Genomic DNA, 20,788 nt, shown 5'->3' with positions numbered 1-20,788 from the left:
TCTCTCTGAGCATCCGCATAAGAAGCCCTAAGTGTGTAACTGTTCAAACGAACGCAGCTAAAACACAGTCTCATTCCCTTGGTTCCCACCAAACTGACAGCACCTTCATGTCAATGACATTGACTCACTTGGGCCCATTTTGTTGAGCCAGTGACATGGCACTCATCAGAGTAGTCGTCTCAATCCAGCTAAAGAGCTCCAAGCCAAATGGAGAAGCCAGTGGAATGGGTAGGAACTGGGATTGTCACTATGCTGAGGAATGGAGATGGTGATATGGGATAAAGCAGGTACAGCAAGCAGGACGTGAGGGCCAGAGCTGAGGGGTCTGCAGGTCAGGAGGCTGAGCTCAGGATCGCTGGAGGCCCCAGGAAGGTGTAGGGAGGGCACCTTGGTTCTGCCCACCTGCAGGAAGAGAAGAGGGGATGGCGATAGAGTCCATGATTGAAGATCTCTGTACTTCTCCCTGCCCATGGCATAGCTCTTACCAAAACTCCCTCTTTTCACTGGCCTTTTTATCCAGTCAAACCAAATTTCCCTTGTCTCTCTCTCTCTCTCTCTCTTTCTCTTGCTTTTTTTCATACCCACCCCCATTTCTCTTATGCCTAGAACAGTCGCCCACTTAGCATCTGCCTGCCCAGTACTTTGCCTTCCTTTACAACTCCACCTACCACTTAATTTCTCTAAGTGGCTAATTAACTGAAAGTTGAATAATTATACCTCTTTCCCCAAAACACATCTCTGAAATCCCACATGCCCCTGGGGTTGCGATCCATGAAGAAAGGTCTCTGACTACCTAATTTTCATTAAGGGAATTCAATGAGATGACTAATTACAAGCACCATGCCTGGTATCTAATACTGTTCAGTGAACTGCAGCTATTAATTAATAATGATATGTTATTAATAATAATAAAATAATAATATGATATAAGCTCTTAGAAGACAAGGACAGTGGCTGCTCTATGCCAAGTTTCAATAATCCAATATTCAATTTTTTTTTTTTTTGAGACAGAATCTCGCTCTGTCGCTCAGGCTGGAGTGCAATGGCACGATTTCGGCTCACTGCAACCTCCATCTCCTGGGTTCAAGCAATTCTCTGCCTCAGCCTCCCGAGTAGCTGGGATTACAGGTGCCTGCCACCATGCCCAGCTAATTTTTGTATTTTTAGTAGAGACAGGGTTTCACCATCTTGTTCAGGCTGGTCTTGAACTCCTGACCTCGTGATCCACCCACCTCAGCCTCCCAAAGTGCTAGGTTTCTAGGCGTGAACCACCATGTCTGACCTCAGATATTTAATTGTAGCAGAGATTGATAGATTTTTCTGCCATGCCCATCTTCCCCCTCTAGCTCAATTTGAGATCACAGACCTTCATATCCATAGCTGTGGCTTATTGGACCAGGGTGAACATCTGCCCAGGAGAGCAAGACTATTGGCTGGTCAGTGGCCAATTGGGACTGCTCTATTGAGAATATGAGCCATGTGTAGCGGCTCATGCCTGTAATCCCAGCAATTTGGGAGGCCAAGGCAGGAGGATCACTTGAGGCCAAGAGTTCAAGACCAGCCTGGGCAACATAGCGAGACCCTGTCTCTACAAAAAAAAATTTTTTTTAATTAGGCATGGTGGTGTGTGCTTGTAGCCTAGCTACTTGGGAGCCTGAGGTGGGAGGATTGCTTTAGCCAAGAGTTTATTTGTAGAGATGAGGTTTCACTATGTTGCCCAGGCTGGTCTCAAACTCCTGGGCTCAAGCAATCCTCCCACCTCGGCCTCCCAGAGTGGTAAGATTACAAGCGTGAGTCACCAGACCCAACCCCAGCTCTGCCATCTCTATGGTGTTACCTTCATCAGCATGATCCAAAATGGTTCCCACCAGAACTGAATTCTAAAAAGGCTGGAAGCACTTTAGGAGGCTGAGGCAGGTGGATCACCTGAGGTCAGGAGTTCGAGACCAGCCTGGCCAACATGGTGAAACCTCATCTTTACTAAAAATACAAAAAATTAGCTGGGCGTGGTGGCACGTGCCTATAATCCCAGCTATTTGGGAAGCTGAAGCAGGAGAATTGCTTGAACCCAGGAGGTGGAGGTTGCAATGAGCGGAGATTGCACTACTACACTCCAGCCTGGGTGACAGAGCAAGACTCCATTTTTCAAAATCAATAAATCAATAAAAAATTAAAAGCCTGGAAGAAAGAGGAAAGGAGAAAGAGAAGGCATGTTCCTCCCTTGAAGGATGGGATCTGTCACTGCCACTTGCAGGTCATTGGCCAGAGCGTAGTCACATGGTCACACCTACCTGCAGTAGAAGGTAGGAAATGCCATCCTCATTCTGCTGACCATGTTCCCTACCGAAAATCAGGGAGCCAGACATTGAAGACAACCAAGAATTCCTGCCACCAGTACCCATGAAACAGTCCTCTGAGCTGGGGCTGAATGAGTCCTACACATGGAAGGAAATCTTTGGGTTTCCAGGGGATCTGGGCAGCTCTGAGGCATATAACATAGCCCAGCCAGGAAAAAGCTCCCAAAAGAGAATTTATTTGTCCAGGAATGTACAGGCAAAAAATCACCATTCTGTGTTTTTCCATGGGGTAGAGGCCTGACCAACCTCATGTGGTTTGTTCCGTCCAGCTTGGCACTGACAGAGGCTGGTGGGGCCTGGGGGAGGGTCTGAAAATCCAGGGTCTCAGGTATGAACTACTGCTCTGATCAACTGCTAGGCTGTGTCCTGTGGGAATGTGCTGGGTTTCTACATGACCCAGAGGTCACTGATTTCACAAGATCTGCAAACAATCCAATATTCAAATATTTAACTATAGCAGAGATTGATAGATTTTTCTGCCATGCCCAGTATCCCCCTATAGCTCAATCTGAAATCAACAGACCTTCATATCCACAGCTGTGGCTTATTGGACCATTCCCTGATCCACCAGCTGAACGAGAGTCATGCTGTCCTCTGAGGCTCCACCATACCTGGAATAGACATCTCTTGGTAGGACCATGCTTCCTGTGTTCTCAGTTGATATGGCTCAGATTGAGCTGTCCCCTTCCGCAAGTCCCAGGGGCAGGTCCAGGATCCAGTCCTAGATAATCAAAGCACAATTTTTCCCTGGCTACTGTGCTTTGTTCAAGAGCAGGCACATGATTCAGGTTGGTCTGAGACAAGTCTTGGAATTTTGGCTAAAATCATTGAAAAAGTGGTGCTCTTTGAGTTGGAGTTGCTAAGCTGGCAGGACATAAGCCTAAAGCTCTTGGTGGCCGTCATGCCAGCAGGGAATTAAGTTGACTCAGAGAAAACCAGAGGCAGAGGGTAATGATGGAGGGATTTCTGATGACATCATTTGAACACACTGATCAAGCCATACCTGAAACCTCACTAGATTTAGGAGCCAATAACCTCCCTTTATTGCTTAAGCCAATTGGAGCAGGCATACATATCACTTTTGACCAAGAGTCTTGGCTAATCTAGCATCTTTGTGTCCCTTCATAACGTGGCTTCTCACTTTGTATCTGATGTGGCAATTATTCCTGAGCACAATTAATGCGTCCTCCTTGGCTACGAGAATTTTTTTTTCTTTTTTTTTTCTTTTTAGATGGAGTCTCTCTCTGTTGTCCAGGCTGGAATGCAGCGGTGCGATCTCAGCTCACTGCAACCTCCACCTGCTGGATGCAAGTGATTCTCCTGCCTCAGCCTCCCGAGTAGCTGGGACTAAAGGTGCATGCCACCACGCCCGGCTAATTTTTATATTTTTAGTAGAGACAGGGTTTCACCATGTTGGTCAGGCAGGTCTCGAACTCCTGACCTCAAGTGATTTGCCCTCCTCAGCCTCCCAAAGTGCTGGGATTACAGGCATGAGCCACCGTGCCCAGCCAGCTATGAGATCTTGAAACCAGAATTCCTCCTAGGTGCCAGACACAACTCAGGTGTTTGGGGAATGCTTGGTGAATGAGTGGCTGGATCGATGAATGGATGGACTGATGGATGGAAATAATTAAGATAATACACGTCCCTCCAGAACATCAAGCCTCCAATTGCAGCCTATGCTTCTCCAGGCCTTTCTCAGAATCCTTGCCCCATTCTTGTGTTCATTCACTGAGGTAATAAATGTTTATTGCTCACTACAATGTGTGAGGCTGTGTGCCAGGGAGTGTGGCACAGTGGATTCCTCAGCCTAGACACTGTGGACACTTTTGTTTTTTGTTTTTGTTGTTATTGTTTTTGAGACAGGGCTTCACGCTATGGCCCAGCTGGAGTGCAGTGGCACAATCACAGCTCACTGCAGCCTCAACCTCCTGGGCTGAAGCAATCCTCCCGCCTCAGCCTCTCAGTTAGCTGCGACTACGGGTGCATGCCACCATGCCTGGCTAATTTTTTTTGTATTTTTTTGTAGAGATAGGGTCTTCCTATATTGCTTAACCTGGTCTCTTAATCTTAATCTTAATCTGGTGGCACCCGGGCTCTGGAGTCATATGGACCTGGATTTGAACCCCAGCTCTGCCCCTTCATCTTGGTGTGACCCTGGACAACTTGCTTAGCATCTCTGGGCCTTGATTTCTTCATCTGTAAAGTGAACATTGGTGGCATTTTGCCCATATAGTTGTTGCGAGAATAACCAAGATAAAATGACCCCTTACTATGTGCTATTTACAAATGTTAGCTGTAATTATGCTTTTGCTTTCCAATTTAACTAGCCAGGTAGGTAGGTAAGTAGGGGGAGAGAGAGAGGGAGAGAAGGAGGAAACAGCAAAAATAAAAGCATTTTTTTCTCTGATAATTTGAGGAAAATATACTTGTCTAGACCAGTGGTTCTCAACTAGGGATGACTGTGTGCCCCAGGGACGTTTGGCAATGTCTGGAGACATCTTAGTTGTCACGACTGAGGGAGTGCTACTGGCATCTGCAGCCAGGGGTGCTGCTAATCTATAGGACAACCCCTGTGACAAAGAAATACCTGGTTCCAATGTGCACAGTAGCCAGGCATGGTGGCTCACACCTGTAATCCCAGCACTTTAGGAGGCTGAGACAGGAGGATAGCTTGAGCTCAGGAGTTCAAGACAAGCTTAAGCAATACAGGGAGACCCTATCTCTACAAAAAATACAAAAAAATTAGCCAGGCATGGTGGCGTGTGCCTGTAATCGCAGCTACTTAAGAGGCTGAGGTGGGAGGATTGCTTCAGCCCAGGAGGTTGAGGCTGCAGTGAGCTGTGATTGTGCCACTGTACTCCAGCCTGGGCCACAGAGTGAAACCCTGTCTCAAAAACAGCAACAACAACAACAAAAAACAAAAGTGTCCCCAGTGCCTAGGCTGAGGAATCCTGGTCTATCATACATTGACATCTCTGATATTAAGGGCCACAGTGCAAGGTACAGTGTCTGGCACATAGTAGGTGCTCAATGAATGTTTGACAACCACATGAATGAATGAATCAATCAATCACAGAATGGATGAATCATCGAATGAATGAATGATTATATAGTTCATTTGTCATTTGGCTGAGTGCCTGGGACAGGGCTGCATCCGAGCAGCTGTTCATTAAATAGGTATGGACAGGTTCCTGTAAATGTTCCCTTCTGAAGCAGCTGGGGAGTGAGGTCCTGGCGGGGGAACACCCGGCCTCACAGCTGTGGTTCCAGGTCATGATAAATTGCTGTGGGAAGCCACAGAGCAGACAGCTCATCACACATTGTAATGGATTCATTGTCTTCTCTCGTGGCCCCCTTTATCTCAAACTCTCAGCAGACAAGGGTTAAAAGGGAGTGAGCTGAGTGAGGGCCTGTGGATGCTGCTCTTCAGGAAAAGGAGGGAAAATGAGCCCAGACAGGATCATCGTTAACCGGCTCCAAGGTCAAGAGCCGGGTTAGAACGTTAGAATTAGAGATGGGGGCAGGGATGGCGGCGGGACTCTCTCCATCACCACACCCTATCTAATTCATTTATTCAACAAATATTTATTGAGTACCAGAGACTCTTTGGGCATATGTGAGTTAACAAAACAGATGAAATCCTTACCCTGTTGGAATTTATATTTTAAAGAAGCAGGATGAACAATGGACACATAGGCCGGACATACCATGTGTGAGGGGCCCTGTGCATTAGGAGAAAAATCAGGTAGGGAGGGAAGATAAGGCATGTTTGGGGCTGAGTTTTTCCATTGAGGTGAAATTCAAATAACATGAAATTAATCATTTAAAAGTGAACAATTGGCCAGCGCGGTGGCTCAGGCCTGTGATCCCAGCACTTTGGGAGGCTGAGGCGGGAGGATTGCTTGATCCCAGGAGTTAGAGACCAACCTAGGCAACACGACAAGACTCCATCTCTGTTTTTTTTTAAGTGAACAATTGAGTGGCATTTAGTTCATTCACAGTGTTATGTAACCACTATTTCTGTCTAGTTCCAGAACATTCTCATCACCCCAAAAGGAAACCCCGTACCCATTTGGCCATTCCTCCTCCTCCAGCCCCTGGTAACCGTTGCTTTTCTTTCTCTGTGTGGGTTTGTCTGTTTTTGGATATTTCACATAAATGGCATCATACACTATGTGGCCTTTTGTGACTAGCTCCTTTCACAAGAATCTCACCTTGTTTTCAAGGTTCATTCATGTGGTAGCATGTGCCTTTCATTCTTTTTTATGGCTGAGTAAAATTGAATCACATGGATAGACCACATTTTGTTAATCCATTCGTCTGTTTAGGGACATCTGGGTTGTCTCCATCTTTGGCTACTGTGAATAGTGCTGTTGTGAACATTTAGGTTACAAGTATCTGTTTGAGGCCAGGCATGGTGGCTCACGCCAGCAGTCCTAGCACTTTGGGAGGCCGAGGCGGGTGGATCACTCGAGATCAGGAGTTCGAGACCAGCCTGGCCAACACGGTGAAACCCCATCTCTACTAAAAATAAAAAATAAAAATAAAAATGGTATCTGCTTGAGTCCCCATTTTCAATTCTTTGGGGTAAAAACCTAAAAGTGGAACTGCTGGGTATATGGTAATTCTATGTTTAACTTTTTTAGGAATGGCCAGTTTCCCACAGCAGCAGCACCATTTTACACTCCTATCAGTAATATACAAAGCTTCCAATTTCTTCATCTCCTCACCAATACTTGTTATTTTCCATTTTTAAAATAACAGTCATCCTAGTGATAGGAAGTCGTGTGTCCTGTGGTTTTGATCTGTGTTTCCCTAATACATATCATTACGTGGTGAGCATCTTTTCATGTGCCCATTGGCCGTGTATATATATCTTCTTAGATAGTCCTTTGCTCACTTTTGACGTTGGTCATTTGTCTTTTTGTTACTGAGTTAAAAGCATGGAGCTAACTTATTTTTATTTATTTTTATTTTTTTATGTTTTTTGAGACAGAGTCTCATTCTGTCGCCCAGGCTGGAGTGCAGTGGCGCAATCTCGGCTCACTGCAACCTCCGCCTCCCAGGTTCAAGTGATTCTCCTGCCTCAGCCTCTCAAAGTGCTAGGATTACAGGTGTGAGCCATGACGCCCAGCCTGAACTTTTAAATAGGGTGATCAGAAAAGACCTCCCTAAGATGATGACTTTTTTTTTTTTTTTTTTTTTAAGATGGAGTCTCACACTGTTGCCCAGGCTGGAGTGCAGTGGCGCGATCTCGGCTCACTGCAAGCTCCGCCTTCCGGGTTCACGCCATTCTCCTGCCTCAGCTTCCTGAGTAGCTGGGACTACAGGTGCCTGCCACCATGCCCAGCTAATTTTTTGTATTTTTAGTAGAAACTGGGTTTCACCATGTTAGCCAGGATGGTCTACGATCTCCCGACCTCGTGATCCACCCACCTTGGCCTACCCAAAGTGCTGAGATTACAGGGTGAGCCACCGCGCCCGGCCAGATGATGACTTTTAAGTGAAGACCTTAAGAAGGTGATGGGGGATGCCAAGGTGATATCTGAGAAGAGCATTCCAGGCAGAGAGGATGTCACATGCAAAGGCCCTGAGGTAAGTCACTTTCATTTGTCTGCAACTCGGTTTTCCTGTCTGCAAATGGGGAGGAATAAAACCATGAAGCATCACGTCAAATGCTGGCAAATTATCAACACCTGGGTTCCCCACAACTCTTGCTCTTAAGCAAGATACTTAATGTCTCAGAGCTTCCATTTGCTCACCTGTAAAATGGTGATAATAATAATTGTACCGACCTCACAGTGTTATCAGATTAAAAGAAATATGATTTGCCAGGGCTTGGCACACAGTAGTGTTCAGAAATGCAGGGTTTGAACCCAGACCAGGAGGACTTCCAGTCCTGAGGGGCGATCACAGCTCACTGCAGCCTTGACCTCCCAGGCTCAGGTGATCCTCCCACCTCAGCCTCTCAAGTAGCTGGGACTACAGGCATGTGCCACCATGCCCAGCTAATTTTTGTATGTTTTGTAGAGATGGGTTTCACCATGTTGCCTAGGCTGGTCTCAAACTCTTAGGCTCAAGTGATGTGCCTGCCTTGGCCTCCCAAAGTGCTAGGATTACAGGTGTGAGCCACTGTGCCTGGCTCCCCTCCCTCCCTCCCTCCCTTCCTTCCTTCCCTTCTTTTTTTTGAGTTAGAGTCTCACTCTGTCCCCCAGGCTGGAGTGCAGTGGCACAATCATGGCTTACTACAGCCTTGAACTCCTGGGTTCAAGCCATCCTCCTGCCTCAGTCTCCCAAGTTGGGATTACGGGCACGAGCCACTGCACCTGGCTCAGTTCCCCTCATTTCTATGGGAGAGTCTGAAGGGTTTCATAGTGTGGGGGCCTGTGGTCCATCCTGACTGCTACCCTGTACACACACATGTGTCTGCCCAACAAATACCATTCGGGGAAATAACAAAACACAAGATCTATCTTTTTCAACACAAGTTACCATGGTGTTTTGCTTTGTCTTGTTTTTTGGTGGCAAATAGATTGTGGGCCTTGGGGTCTCAAGTGAGTGTTCAGATCCCAGCTTCCGTGCTTTACTGGTTGTTGGACCTCCGGCAGCACCCAAGAGGACTTTGGGCCTTATGGGGCCACACAGATGGTTATCCTGGTATGAAGAAAAGGACAAGAAACCCGAGCAGTTTGGGTGGCAAGGGAAGAACAGGAGAGAGAAATTCCAATCAGCCTATTTAAAATGCCGTGCAGAGCCTAGTGAGAGTGAAACGACAATCCACTAGTTTCCAGCCCTTATTTTTCTCCCTCTAGAAAGAACTAGGAATTAGGAATCTCAGATTCGAGCCATCACTTTGTCCAAAGCTAACTCTGTGCCCTTGAGCAAATCCCTTCCACTCTCTGCCTCAGTTTCCCAGGAATCCCTTTGTAAAGACCTTTTCCTCTCTGTAACCATGGTGGTGCTGCTACTGACCAGCAGAGGGCAGTGTTGCACCAACATTCTCTATGGCTCTGCATTGCTTTTGCCTGACCTTGGACGGGAACATTGAAATCATTAATTAGTGGTCAGTGTCATCATCTTTTTCAAAAGGCCTTATTTTATCCTCAGTGCATAGTCAGAACAAGGTCTTGCCACAGTGTACAGATGAGGAAGCAGAGCCTCAGAAACATAAGAAACTTAATTACTGGTAATTTTGGTCACACCACGTCCTAAATTTAGACTCTCAGAATGGTATGAACCCATTGCTGTGTGTCTGAGCAGCAAAGCATTGATAATCCATTACCTGCTTTATGCATCATGAAGCACTTTCTGATCCTCAATATCAGACAATTCTCATCTTATTCTCCTCCAGTTTGTAAATGAGCAAACTGTGGCTTCTAGAGGCTATATCATTTGACTTACAGCTTTTTTTTTTTTAGAGAGGCCCAGGCTGGCCTCGAACTCCTGGCTTCAGGTGATCCTCCCACCTCAGCCTCCCAAGTAGCTGGGATTACAGGTGTGAGCCATTGCACCTGGCACCAGCATATTCACAATCAGTTCCATCTTAGAGACTGTTTGGTGGACTCCCAAAAATATTAGTTTAAAAATGACAGAGCCTGGCGTTTTGCAATTTTTATGTGATGAAATGTACTGAGTTCTCATATAAATATTGCTCCTTGTTTTGCAAAAGGAATTAGGCCCCTTTCCCTGTCTCAGCAGCTGCACCGGTTATTAGCAATCCCCTAGGGAACTGGAATAGCTTTAGATCAACAGTGGTTCTCAAAAGGGACTATCAAATGACACACCTGTCCCCAGCTCCAGATTCCGATATCCACACCCCAAACATCCAATCACTGTTTCTCATAGTCTTTTGATGTTTTTTGTTTTTGTTGTTTTTGGTTTTTGGTATTTTTTTGAGACAAAGTCTCGCTCCGTCGCCTGGGCTGGAGTACAGTGGTGCCATCTCGGCTCACTGCAACCTCCACCTCCCAGGTTCAAGCTATCCTCCTGCCTCAACTTCCCACCATGCCTAGATAACTTTTGTAATTTTAATAGAGATAGGGTTTCACCATGTAGGCCAGTCTGGTCTCAAAGTCTTTTTTTTTTTTTTTTTTTTTTTTTTTTTTGTCAGAGTCTCGCTTTGTTTACCGAGCCAGAGTGCAGTGGTATGATCTCGGCTCACTGCAACCTCCACCTACCAGGTTCAAGCAATTCTCTGGCCTCAGCCTCCTGAGTAGCTGGGATAACAGGTGCACACCACCTTGCCTGGCTAATTTTCGTATTTTTAATATAGTTGGGGTTTTACCATGTTGGCTAGGCTGGTCTCGAACTCCTGACCTCAAGTGATCCACCCACCTCACCCTCCCAAAGTGCTGGGATTACAGGCGTGAGCCACCAGGCCCAGCCTAATTTTTTGTATTTTTAGTAGAGACAGGGTTTTGCCATGTTGGCCAGGCTGGTCTCAGACTCTTATCCTCAAGTGATCCAGCTGCCTCAGCCTCCCAAAGTGTGGGGATTACAGGTGTGAGCCACCGCACCCGGCCTTCTGCTTGATCAATTCTGCTATTAAGACTCTGATGCATTCTTCAGTATGTCAATTTCATTTTCAACTCTAGAATTTCCTCTTGATTCTTTTTAATTATTTCTATTTCCTTGTTACATTCATCTGATAGGAAATCTGAATTCCTTCTCTGTGTCATCTTGAATTGCTTTGAGTTTCCTCAATACAGCTCTTTCAAATTGTCTGCCTGAAAGGTTGCCTATTTTTGTTTCTCCGTGATTGGTCCCTGGTGCCTTATTCAGTTTGGTGAGGTCATGTTTTCCTGCGTGGTGTTGATGCTTATGGATATTCATCAGTGTCTGAGCAGTGAAGAGTTAGGCATTTATTGTAGTCTTCACAGTCTGGGCTTATTTGTGCCTGTGATTCTTGGGAAGGCTTTTCAGGTATTCAAAGGGACTTGAACCCCGAACCCAATAAAACTGTAGTTCTGCGGACTCGTAAAGGTACCACCTTAGTGGTCTTGGAGAAGATCCAGAAGAATTCTCTGCATTACCAGGCAGAGATTCTTGTTCTTTTCCCTTGCTTTCTTCCAAACAAATGGAGTCTCTCTCTCTCTCTCTCCAAGCTAGGCCTCTTGGAACTGGGGGTGGAAGGACACAAGAACCCCTGTGGCCATCACCACTGGGACTGCACTGGTTCAGACCTGAAGCAGCCCAGCACTGGGTCTCACCTAAGGTCTGCTAGAACTGCTACCTGGCCATCACCTGAATTCACTCAAGGGCCTGGGACTCTACAATCAGCAGGTGGCAAAACCAGCCAGGGTGTTGTCCCTCCCTTCAGGGCAGTGAGTTCCCTGGGAAGGTCCAGAGATGCTGTCTGGGAGCCAGGGATTGATAAACCTTAGAATTCTATTCTAAGATAGAATAGAATTCTATAGATGTATCATTCCACTGCAGGTAAGCTGGCACTCAAACCACAAGACAAAGTCCTTCCCACTCTTCACTCCCCTTTCCTCAGTCAGAGGAACCTCTCCTTGTGGCCACCACTTCCACCAGCCTGCAAGGAGTTCTCCCAGGCCACTGCTGATGTTCACAAAAACCCCGAGGGCTCTTCAGGCAGCCTGCGATGAATGCTATCAGGCCTGTGACTCATCCTTCAGGCAGTGGGCTCCCCTTGGCCCAGGGCAGGTCCGCAAATGCTGACCAACAGCCTAGGCCTGTACTCAGGGACCCCAAGAGCCTGCTTGGTGCTCTACCCCACTGTGGCTGAGCTGGTACCTAAGGGGCAAGACAAAGTCCCCTTTACTCTTCCTCCTGCTTTTCTCAAACAGAAGGCATCTTTCACTGTAGCCACCACAGCCGGAAATGTGCTGGATCACACCTGAAGCCAGCATGTCTCAGAGCCCAGTGCCCACAGGTGGATGGGAAGTAGGATTTAGTGGTGAGTATTAAGAAGGGGCAGCACAGCAGAAGCCCTCACGAGTGCAGGGCCCACTACTTGTCCAGAGGGCCACAATGAGGATGTACTTGACCCCACACCCATCTCAGATGAGCCACTTCTCAGCCACCGTGTCTTCAAATTCATCTTCACTGAACTTGGTGAAGACCCACTTCTGTGAGATGTGGATCTTCTGGCAGCCAGGAAACTTGAACTTGGCCCTGAGCAGGGCCTTAATCACATGCTCCTTGTTCTCTGGGTTCAAGGCGGATGGACATGATAATTGGCCAATGTGAACCCCAGCCACGGTGCCCCGGGGCTTTCCAAAAGCACCTCACATACCTTTTTGGAGCCTACACTGGGGTAGTGCAAGGTCAGAGACATGAACATCCATCTGAGGGCCTGTCTCCAAGGTCCCTTAGAGCAGCCATACAAGAAACAGGCTGCATACACCACCAAGGAAGCTGCTGTTTGCAGCCATTGCACACGTCCCCCATGAGGCGAGGAACTCAGCCAGCTGAGTTGGCTGTAGATGCCCGCAGCATATTACCTGGCTATGGCTGTTGGTTATACAGGGCCCAGGGGCTCCTTAGTCAGCAGATGATGAATGCTGCCAGGTCTCTGCTGTGATGGGACAGCACTGAGTTCAATGTAAAGTCCCCAAGTTGCTAGCTCTCCCTCTCCCAAATGCACAGATCTGTCTGTGCCACATGGCCACTGCCAGGGGTGGGAGTAGGGGGTGGCCCAAAGAACTCCCTTAGCTGCCCCAGCTAATGTCTCAGGAGGTTGTGTGCCCCTGACTCCACAGTCCACTGGTTGTGAGCCCAGCTCGGCACTCGGGTTTGCCTGTGAATTGCAGTCCTGATGGCCTAAACTGCCCCTCAAGTCTGCTAAGGGCCCCAGAGCACTCCAGCTCGCAGTGGCAAGGCTTGCCAGAACTCAAGCTCCAACTGCTAAGATGGGCAATTCCGGTGAGTGCCAGTCCAAGCGCTCCTTGTGTGAGCCAGTGTCAGCGAAGTACACCTCGGTTCTGCTTTCTGCTGTGACAATGCAGCACCGAGTTCAATGCGAAGTCTCACAATTGCTATGCTCTCCCTCTCCAAAGCACACTGATTCTCCGTGCCACGGGGCTGCTGCTGGGGGGTGGGGGATGGGTGGCATCAGCAACTCAAGACTGTCTTTCCTGCCCTCTTCAGCATCTCTTTCAGCGATATAAGGTTAAAACCGGGTACTGTGATTGTTCACCTGATTTTTGGTTCTTGCGATGGTGCTTTTTGTGTGTAGTTAGCTGTTAAAATTTGGTGGTCCTGTGAGGGGTCAAATGATGTAGGTTTCTTTTTTTTTTTTTTGGGAAAGATCTCGCTCTGTCGCCCAGGCTGGAGTACAGTGGCACGATCTCGGCTCACTGCAAGCTCTGCCTCCCGGGTTCACACCATTCTCCTGCCTCAGCCTCCCAAGTAGCTGGGACTACAGGTGCCTGCCACCATACCCAGCTAATTTTTGTATTTTTAGTAGAGATGGGGTTTCACCATGTTAGCCAGGATGGCCTTGATCTCCTGACCTCATGATCCGCCCGCCTCGGCCTCCCAAAGTGCTGGGATTACAGGCATGAGCCACCGCGCCTGGCCAAATGGTGTTGGTTTCTATTCAGCCATCCTGCTCCACCCTCTGTGATTTTTTTTTTTTTTAATTGAAAAGCACAGGCAAAGTTTGGTTGTGGTGGTGGTAGAGACAATAGTGATTATTAGCAGAAAAAGAAAAGAGCTCCAGGATGCTGTCCATATTTAATGTGCAGGCCTCCTGGCTGGATCATATTGATGGTTCAAGTAGAGGGACAGGGTCGCCACTATCCCCCGACTACTCCATGTCATCAGACCTCTGGCTCCTCACAGGGCCCAGGTACATGGGACTCTGTTTTTTCTTTTCTTTCTTTCTTTCTTTCTTTTTATTTTTTTTTTTTTGAGACAGAGTCTCACTCTGTCACCCAGGCTGGAGTGCAGTGGTGCCATCTTGGCTCACTGCAATCTGCACCTCTGGGTTCAAGTGATTCTCCTGCCTCAGCCTCCCAGGTAGCTGGGATTATAGGCGTCTGCCATCATGCCTGGCTAATTTTTGTATTTTTGTAGAGGTGGGGTTTCACCATGTTGGCCAGGCTGTTCTCGAACTCCTGACCTCAGGTGATCCACCTGCCTCAGTCTATCAAAATGCTGGGATTATAGACGTGAGCCACCATGCCCAGCCAGGACTCTGTCTTTTCATTGTGCAGTCCTACAGACCTTCTCTTTCATCTGTACCTGTTTCACTAGCCAGGGCACCAGTCTCCTGAGGACTGCCTAGGTAAATGCCCGGATTAATTTGCTCCTGTAGGATATTTATAGACACTCTCTGTGGACAGATCATACACTCAGCAAAGAGCAGCAAACAGGTCTTAGCACCCTGTGAACCTGATCTTGGGAGGGGCCCCACACCCTCTCATATCACCCTCATTTAGTCTTATTTATACAAGTAGCAAATTTAGGACTCAAGATCTGCCCTGTGTCAATGTCTTTCTAGGCATTTTGTTGTCTGAAGTTTGTTATTTCTCTGGAAGAGATCATGGGAATAATAGCACCTGAGGTCTTCTGTCACAGCATGGCACGTCAGGGTCTTCTCTACCCAAATGTGAGTTTTGCTGGATATAACATTCACGGTTTACAGTTTCTTTTCTTAAATATGTACTCCATTTTCCTCAGGTACAAAGTATTGCTCTCAAAAAGGTAGATTCTAATTTCTTTCCCTTATTATGTCACTTGCGCTTTTTTGTCTAGAAGCCCAGAAATTTTTATTTTTTAAAGCCCGGTATTGTACTAGAATATTACTAATAACCTGCATTAGTCATTCTGAATCAAAATTCCATGCACTCTCTTTTTTTTAAATTTATTTTTGAGACAGAGTCTCATTCTGTCACCCAGGCTGCAGTGCAGTGGCATGATCTTTGCTCATTGCAGCCTCCGCCTCCTGGGTTCAAGTGATTTTCCTGCCTCAGCCTCCCGAGTAGCTGGGATTAAAGGTGCTCACCACCACACATGGGTAATTTTTGTATTTTTAGTAGAGATGGGGTTTCACCATGTTGGCCAGGCTGGTCTCGAACTCCTGACCTCAATTGATCCACATGCCTTGGCCTCCCAAAGTGATGGGATTACAGGCGTGAGCCACCATGCCTGGCCCATGCACTCTTTCAATAAGCAGAATCTTCCAGTAAGGGTATACTGAATTCATGGATAACATACTCTGATGTACCCAATAATCACTGGGCCAAGAATTGGCTTTTATTTTATTTTAGTTGCCAATTCTCTTCCATGTGACTGTCAGCAGATTCTTCTCTTTGCCGGATCTAAACAGACCTCATTGGTAAAACTCTCCATTGAAAACACTTTATAGATGGATGGAAGTGAAGCCAGGGCTCTGTCAAGCCTTTGCTTTTTATATTGTAGGAAGAGGGACTTGATTTCCCAGAGAAAGCCAAATCAGGGTCAGAATGACAAATTCTTGGCTTTTTCTGTGTGTGGAGAAAGAGAAAATATAAGCAAATAGATCTGAACAAGGTATTATATAAATGAGCCCAAAATGGGTCTGTATTGAATATCCAGTGCAATGAAACTGGAGATGAATAGCAGAAGGAAAACGGGAAAATTCAAAAATGTGGAAATTAGCAACACTCTTTTTATTGAGGTAAAATATACACATATAATTTGTCATCTTTACTTTTATTTATTTTTCTTCTTTTATTTTTTATTTTTGAGACGGAGTCTTGGTCTGTCACACAGGTTGGAGTGCAGTGGCGCGATCTTGGCTCATGCAACCTCCACCTCCCGGGTTCAAGTGATTCTCCTGCCTCAGCCTCCTGAGTAGCTGGGATTACAGGTGCCTGACATCACACCTGGCTAACTTTTGTATTTTTAGTAGAGATGGGATTTCACCATGTTGGCCAGGCTGGTCTCAAACTCCTGACCTCAGGTGATCTGCCCACCTCGGCCTCCCAAAGTGCTAGGATTACAGGCATGAGCCACTGTGCCTGGCTTTACTTTTTTTTTTTTTTTGAGACAGTATCTCGCTCTGTCACCCAGGCTGGGGTGCAGTGGCTTGATCATAGGCCACTGTAACCTTGCACTCCTGGGCTCTAGCAATCCTCCCACCTTGGCCTCCCAGAATGCTGAGATCATAGGTGTGAGCCACTGTGCCTGGCCATCTTTACCATTTTTAAGTGAAAATTGGTGGTAATAAATAAAGTTATATATGTATTTTTTTCCCCCTTGTATCTCCCTTTCCCTCTTCTCTTTGCTGCTTCTGTTAACAATCAATCTGCTCTCCATCTTCATGAGATCTGCTTATTTAGCTTCCACAGATGAGTAAGGACATGTGATATTTGTCTTTCTGTGCTTGGCTTGTTTCTCTTAACATAATAGTCTCCAGGTCCATCCATGTTGCTGCAAATGACAAGATGTCATTCTTTTGTACGGCTGAATGTTTATATGCCACATCTTCTTTATCCTGGGATAAAGCAAGTCTCCTGCTTCACCCTCCTGAGTAGCTGGGACTACAGGCACATGCCACCATGCCCAGATAATTTTTTATTTTTTGTAGAAACAGAATTACATCGTGTTGCCCAAGCTTGTCGTAACTACTGGCCTCAAGTAATTCTTCCACCTTGGCCTCCCAATGTGCTGGGATTACAGGCATGAGCCACCGACACCCAGCCACGTTGGCCATTTTAATGTCTGCTTTTGAGAAATATCTGTTCAGATCATTTGCCCATTTTAAAATTGGATTATTTGTTTTTTTACTATTGAGTTGTTTGAGCTCCTTACATATTCTGGTTATTAATCCCTTGTGAGATGGTTTGCAAATATTTTCTCCTATCTGATGGGTTGTCTTGAAGTAGGAGGTGGGACTTGATGCCAGTGGCAGGGCTCAGACATCAGACCAGATTGAGGACTAGCTAAAACAGGGAAGAGGCAAAAGCATCTCTCCATAAGACTTGGCCACCATTGTGCCATGTTAGTTTACCATTGCCATGGCAACATTTGGAAGTTACTGCCCCCTTCCATGGCAACAACTCAACGACCTGAAAGTTACTACCCTTTTTCTAGAAATTTCTGCATAATTCACCTCTTAATTTGCATATAATTAAAAGTAGGTATAAATAGGACTGCAGAACTGCCCCTGAGCTGCTGCTCTGGGCACACTGCCTATGGGGTGACCCTGCTCAACAGGGAGCAGTACCTCTGTTACTGCTGTACACGGCTGCTTCAATAAAAGTTGCTGCCTAACACCACCAGCTCGCCCTTGAATTATTTCCTGGGCAAAGCCAAGAACCCTCCCGGGCTAATTTTGGGGTTCACCTGCCCTGCATCAATCTCTTCACTTCATTGTTTCCCTTATTTTTTAGCTTGATGTAATTCCAACTGTCTATTTTTGCTTTGGTTGCCTGTGCTTTCGAGGTCCTACACAAAAAGTCTTTGCCTAGAGCAATGTCCTGGAACATTTTCCCAATGTTTTCTTCTAGTAGTTTCATAGTTTCAGATCTTAGATTTAAGTCTTGCTGGGCATGGTGGCACAGGTCTGTAATCCCAGAACTTTGGGAGGCCAAAGCAGAGGATTGCTTGAGTTCAGGAGTTTGAGACTAGCCTAGGCAACATGGCAAAACCCTATCTCTACAAAAAATACAAAAATTAGCTGGGCATGGTGGCGTGTGTCCGTATAGTCCCAGCCACTTGGGAGGCTGAGGCAGGAAGGTCACTGGAGCCCGGGAAGGTCAAGGTTTCAATGAGCCAGGATAATGCCCCTGTACTCCAGCCTGAGTGACAGAGCAAGATCCTGCCTCCAAAAAGTTTTAAGCCTTTATTCCATTTTGATTTGATTGTTGTGTGTGGTAAGAGACAAAAATAGTTTAGTTTCATTCTGTGTATACTTATCCAGTTTCCCCAGCACCATTTATTGAAAAGACTGACCTTTTCCCCATGTATGTTCTTGGCACCTTTGTCAAAGATGAGTTAGTTGTAAGGCCGGGTGCAGTGGCTCATGCCTGTAATCCCAGCGCTTTGGGAGGCTGAGGTGGGTGTATCACCTGAGGTCAGGAGTTCGAGACCAGCCTGGCCAACATGGCAAAACTCTGTCTCTACTAAAAATATAAAAATTAGCCAGGCACGATGGTGCACGCCTGTAGTCCCAGCTACTTGGGAGGCTGAGGCAGGAGAATTGCCTGAACTTGGGAGGTGGAGGTTTCAGTGAGCTGAGATCGTGCCACTACACTCCAGCCTGGGTGACAGAGCAAGAAGACTCCGTCTCCAAAAAAAAAAAAAAAAAAATTTGTTGTAAATTCATATGCATGGATTTATATCAGGATTACCTATTCTGTACTATTTGTCTGTGTGGTCTGTTTTTATGCCAGTACCGTGCTGTTTTGGTTACTATAGCTGTGTAGTATATTTTGAAGTCTGATAGTGTGATGCCGCCAGCTTTGTTCTTTTTGCTCAGAATTGCTTTGGCTAGTTGAGGTCTTCTGTGGTTCCACATAAATTTTATATATTTTTTCTTTTTCTGTGAAGAATGTCATTGGTTTTGATAGGGATTGCATTGAATCTGTAAATTGCTTTGGGTAGTGTTATAATTTTAACAATAAAATCCTTGCCATCCATGAACATGTAATATCTTTCCATTTTTTGTGTCCTCATTAATTTTTTTCATTAGTGTTTTATAGTTTTCCTTGTAGAGCTATTTCACTTCTTGGTAAATTTATTCCTGTGTGTTTTATTTTTATTTTGGTGCTATTGTAAATGAGCTTCCTTTCTTGATTTCTTTTTCAGAATGTTCTTTGTTGGTGTATAGAACTGCTACTAGCCTGGGCAACATGGTGAGACCCCATCTTATCTCTACAACATTTAAAAAAAATCTAGCCAGGTATGCACCTGTGGTCCCAGCTACTTGGGAGGCTGAAGTGAGAGGATCGCTTAGGTCCAAGAGATCAAGGCTGCAGTGAGCCATGTTCGTGCCACTGCACTCCAGCCTGGGCAACCCAGTGAGACTGTCTAAAAAAAAATTAGAAATGCCACTGATTTTTGTATGTTGATTTTGTATTCTGCAACTTTACTAATTTGTTTATCAGTTCTAACAGTTTTTTCGTAGAGTTTTTAGATTTTTCCAGGTATAAGACGTGTCATCTGTGAACAAGGCTTATTTGACTTCTTCCTTTCAAATTTGGATGCCCTTTATTTCTTGTTCTTGCCTAATTGCTCTGTCCAGGACTTCCAGTATTATGTTGAATAAAGTGGTGAAAGTGAGCATCCTTGTCTTATTCCAGTTCTTAGAGGAAAGACCTTCCATTTATCCTCATTCAGTACAATGTTAGCTATGGGTTTGTCATACATGGCTTTCATTTTTTTTGAGCTATGTTATTTCTATAACCATTTTGATGAGGGTTTTTAATATGCTAAACTTTACAAAATTATTTTCCAGCATTTATTGAAATAATCATATGGTTTTTGTTTTTGCTTCTGTTTAGGTTATGTATCATGTTTATTGATCTGCATGTGTTGAACCATCCTTGCATTCCTGGGATGAATCCCACTTGATCATGAAGCAGGATAGGTAGTCAAAGAAGTAACCATGTTCTCAGGATGCAGTAACTGTGGTGACTATACAGTCAACACAATAAGCCTCAGTATTTGCATTGTAATTGAGCTCATTCAAGCAAAGCTATCTTCAGTAGGGACTTTCCCCTCTGGAGAGCATGAACAGTTTGATTTTACCTGTCCTCAAACTGACCCTTTGCTCATTATAATAGTAAAAAAAACCACCCCTGGGTGGAGATTTAAGATGCGAATGAGACATGCAATGTATGAACAATCATGTACAGCTACTGTGCATGGGCAAGAGGACCACCCAGAAGATGCTTACTACCAACACCTCTTCCAACCCTTTATGAATAATCGTGTAAGACTTCCATAAAGAGAGTCTTCCTAGTGCCAGTTTTTGCTGTCTCGCCCTTATGAGCAACAAAATTCTCTCTCCCAGGGTATATTATCTATTTTGCACCAAACTTTCAAAATATTATTATTATTTGAGATGTAGTTTCGCTCTTGTTGCCCAGGCTGGAGTGCAATGGCACGATCTTGGCTCACCGCAACCTCTGCCTCCTGGGTTCAAGTGATTCTCCTGCCTCAGCCTCCTGAGTGCCACCATGCCCAGCTAATTTTGTATTTTTAGTAGAGATGGGGTTTCTCCATGTTGGTCAGGCTGGTCTCAAACTCCCAACCTCAGGTGATCTGCCTACCTCGGCCTCCCAAAGTGCTGGGATTACAGGTGTGAGCCACTGCACCTAGCCCAAAATAGTCTTTTTCTTTTGCAATAAATTACTCTATGTTGCATCTCCTTTGCTGTGAGTCTGTTTAAATTTTCTTAAACTAAGAAGACAAGAACTGAGGTCTTGCATCAGCCATCAACAATCATGGTGAATGGTCTTTTTGATGTGCTG

The 20,788-nt window shown here is 45.8% G+C and overlaps 2 long non-coding RNA genes and 1 other non-coding gene across 6 annotated transcripts; 1 reads left to right on the top strand and 2 right to left on the bottom strand.

Moving 5' to 3' along the window:
* Positions 1-144: 144 nt before the first annotated feature.
* Positions 145-8,940, bottom strand: LOC105370030 (uncharacterized). Of its 3 annotated transcripts, none has more exons than XR_007063494.1 (3): positions 7,797-7,896; positions 2,969-3,078; positions 145-402 (listed from the first exon to the last, which is right to left on the bottom strand). It is a non-coding gene; the product is annotated as an uncharacterized LOC105370030 (long non-coding RNA). The 3 variants fall into 3 exon arrangements; XR_007063493.1 differs by lacking the exons at positions 145-402; positions 7,797-7,896 and adding exons at positions 2,717-2,778; positions 8,853-8,940 and having other exon boundaries at positions 2,881-3,078; XR_945453.3 differs by lacking the exon at positions 145-402 and adding an exon at positions 2,717-2,778 and having other exon boundaries at positions 2,881-3,078.
* A 1,988-nt stretch (positions 8,941-10,928) lies between these two features.
* LOC105370031 (uncharacterized) lies at positions 10,929-19,161 on the top strand. 2 transcript variants are annotated; one of them, XR_945458.2, is made up of 4 exons: positions 10,929-12,279; positions 13,085-13,247; positions 14,830-14,937; positions 19,122-19,161. It is a non-coding gene; the product is annotated as an uncharacterized LOC105370031 (long non-coding RNA). The 2 variants fall into 2 exon arrangements; XR_945457.2 differs by having other exon boundaries at positions 10,929-13,247.
* LOC124900320 (small nucleolar RNA SNORA70) lies at positions 12,677-12,808 on the bottom strand. Its single transcript, XR_007063624.1, has one exon. It is a non-coding gene; the product is annotated as a small nucleolar RNA SNORA70 (small nucleolar RNA).
* Positions 19,162-20,788: the final 1,627 nt, after the last annotated feature.

Source organism: Homo sapiens, chromosome 12 (assembly GCF_000001405.40).
Source record: "Homo sapiens chromosome 12, GRCh38.p14 Primary Assembly".
NCBI lineage: Eukaryota > Metazoa > Chordata > Mammalia > Primates > Hominidae > Homo > Homo sapiens.
The sequence above is the reverse complement of the archived record's forward strand: the minus strand, read 5'-3'. Positions and strand labels throughout refer to the sequence as shown.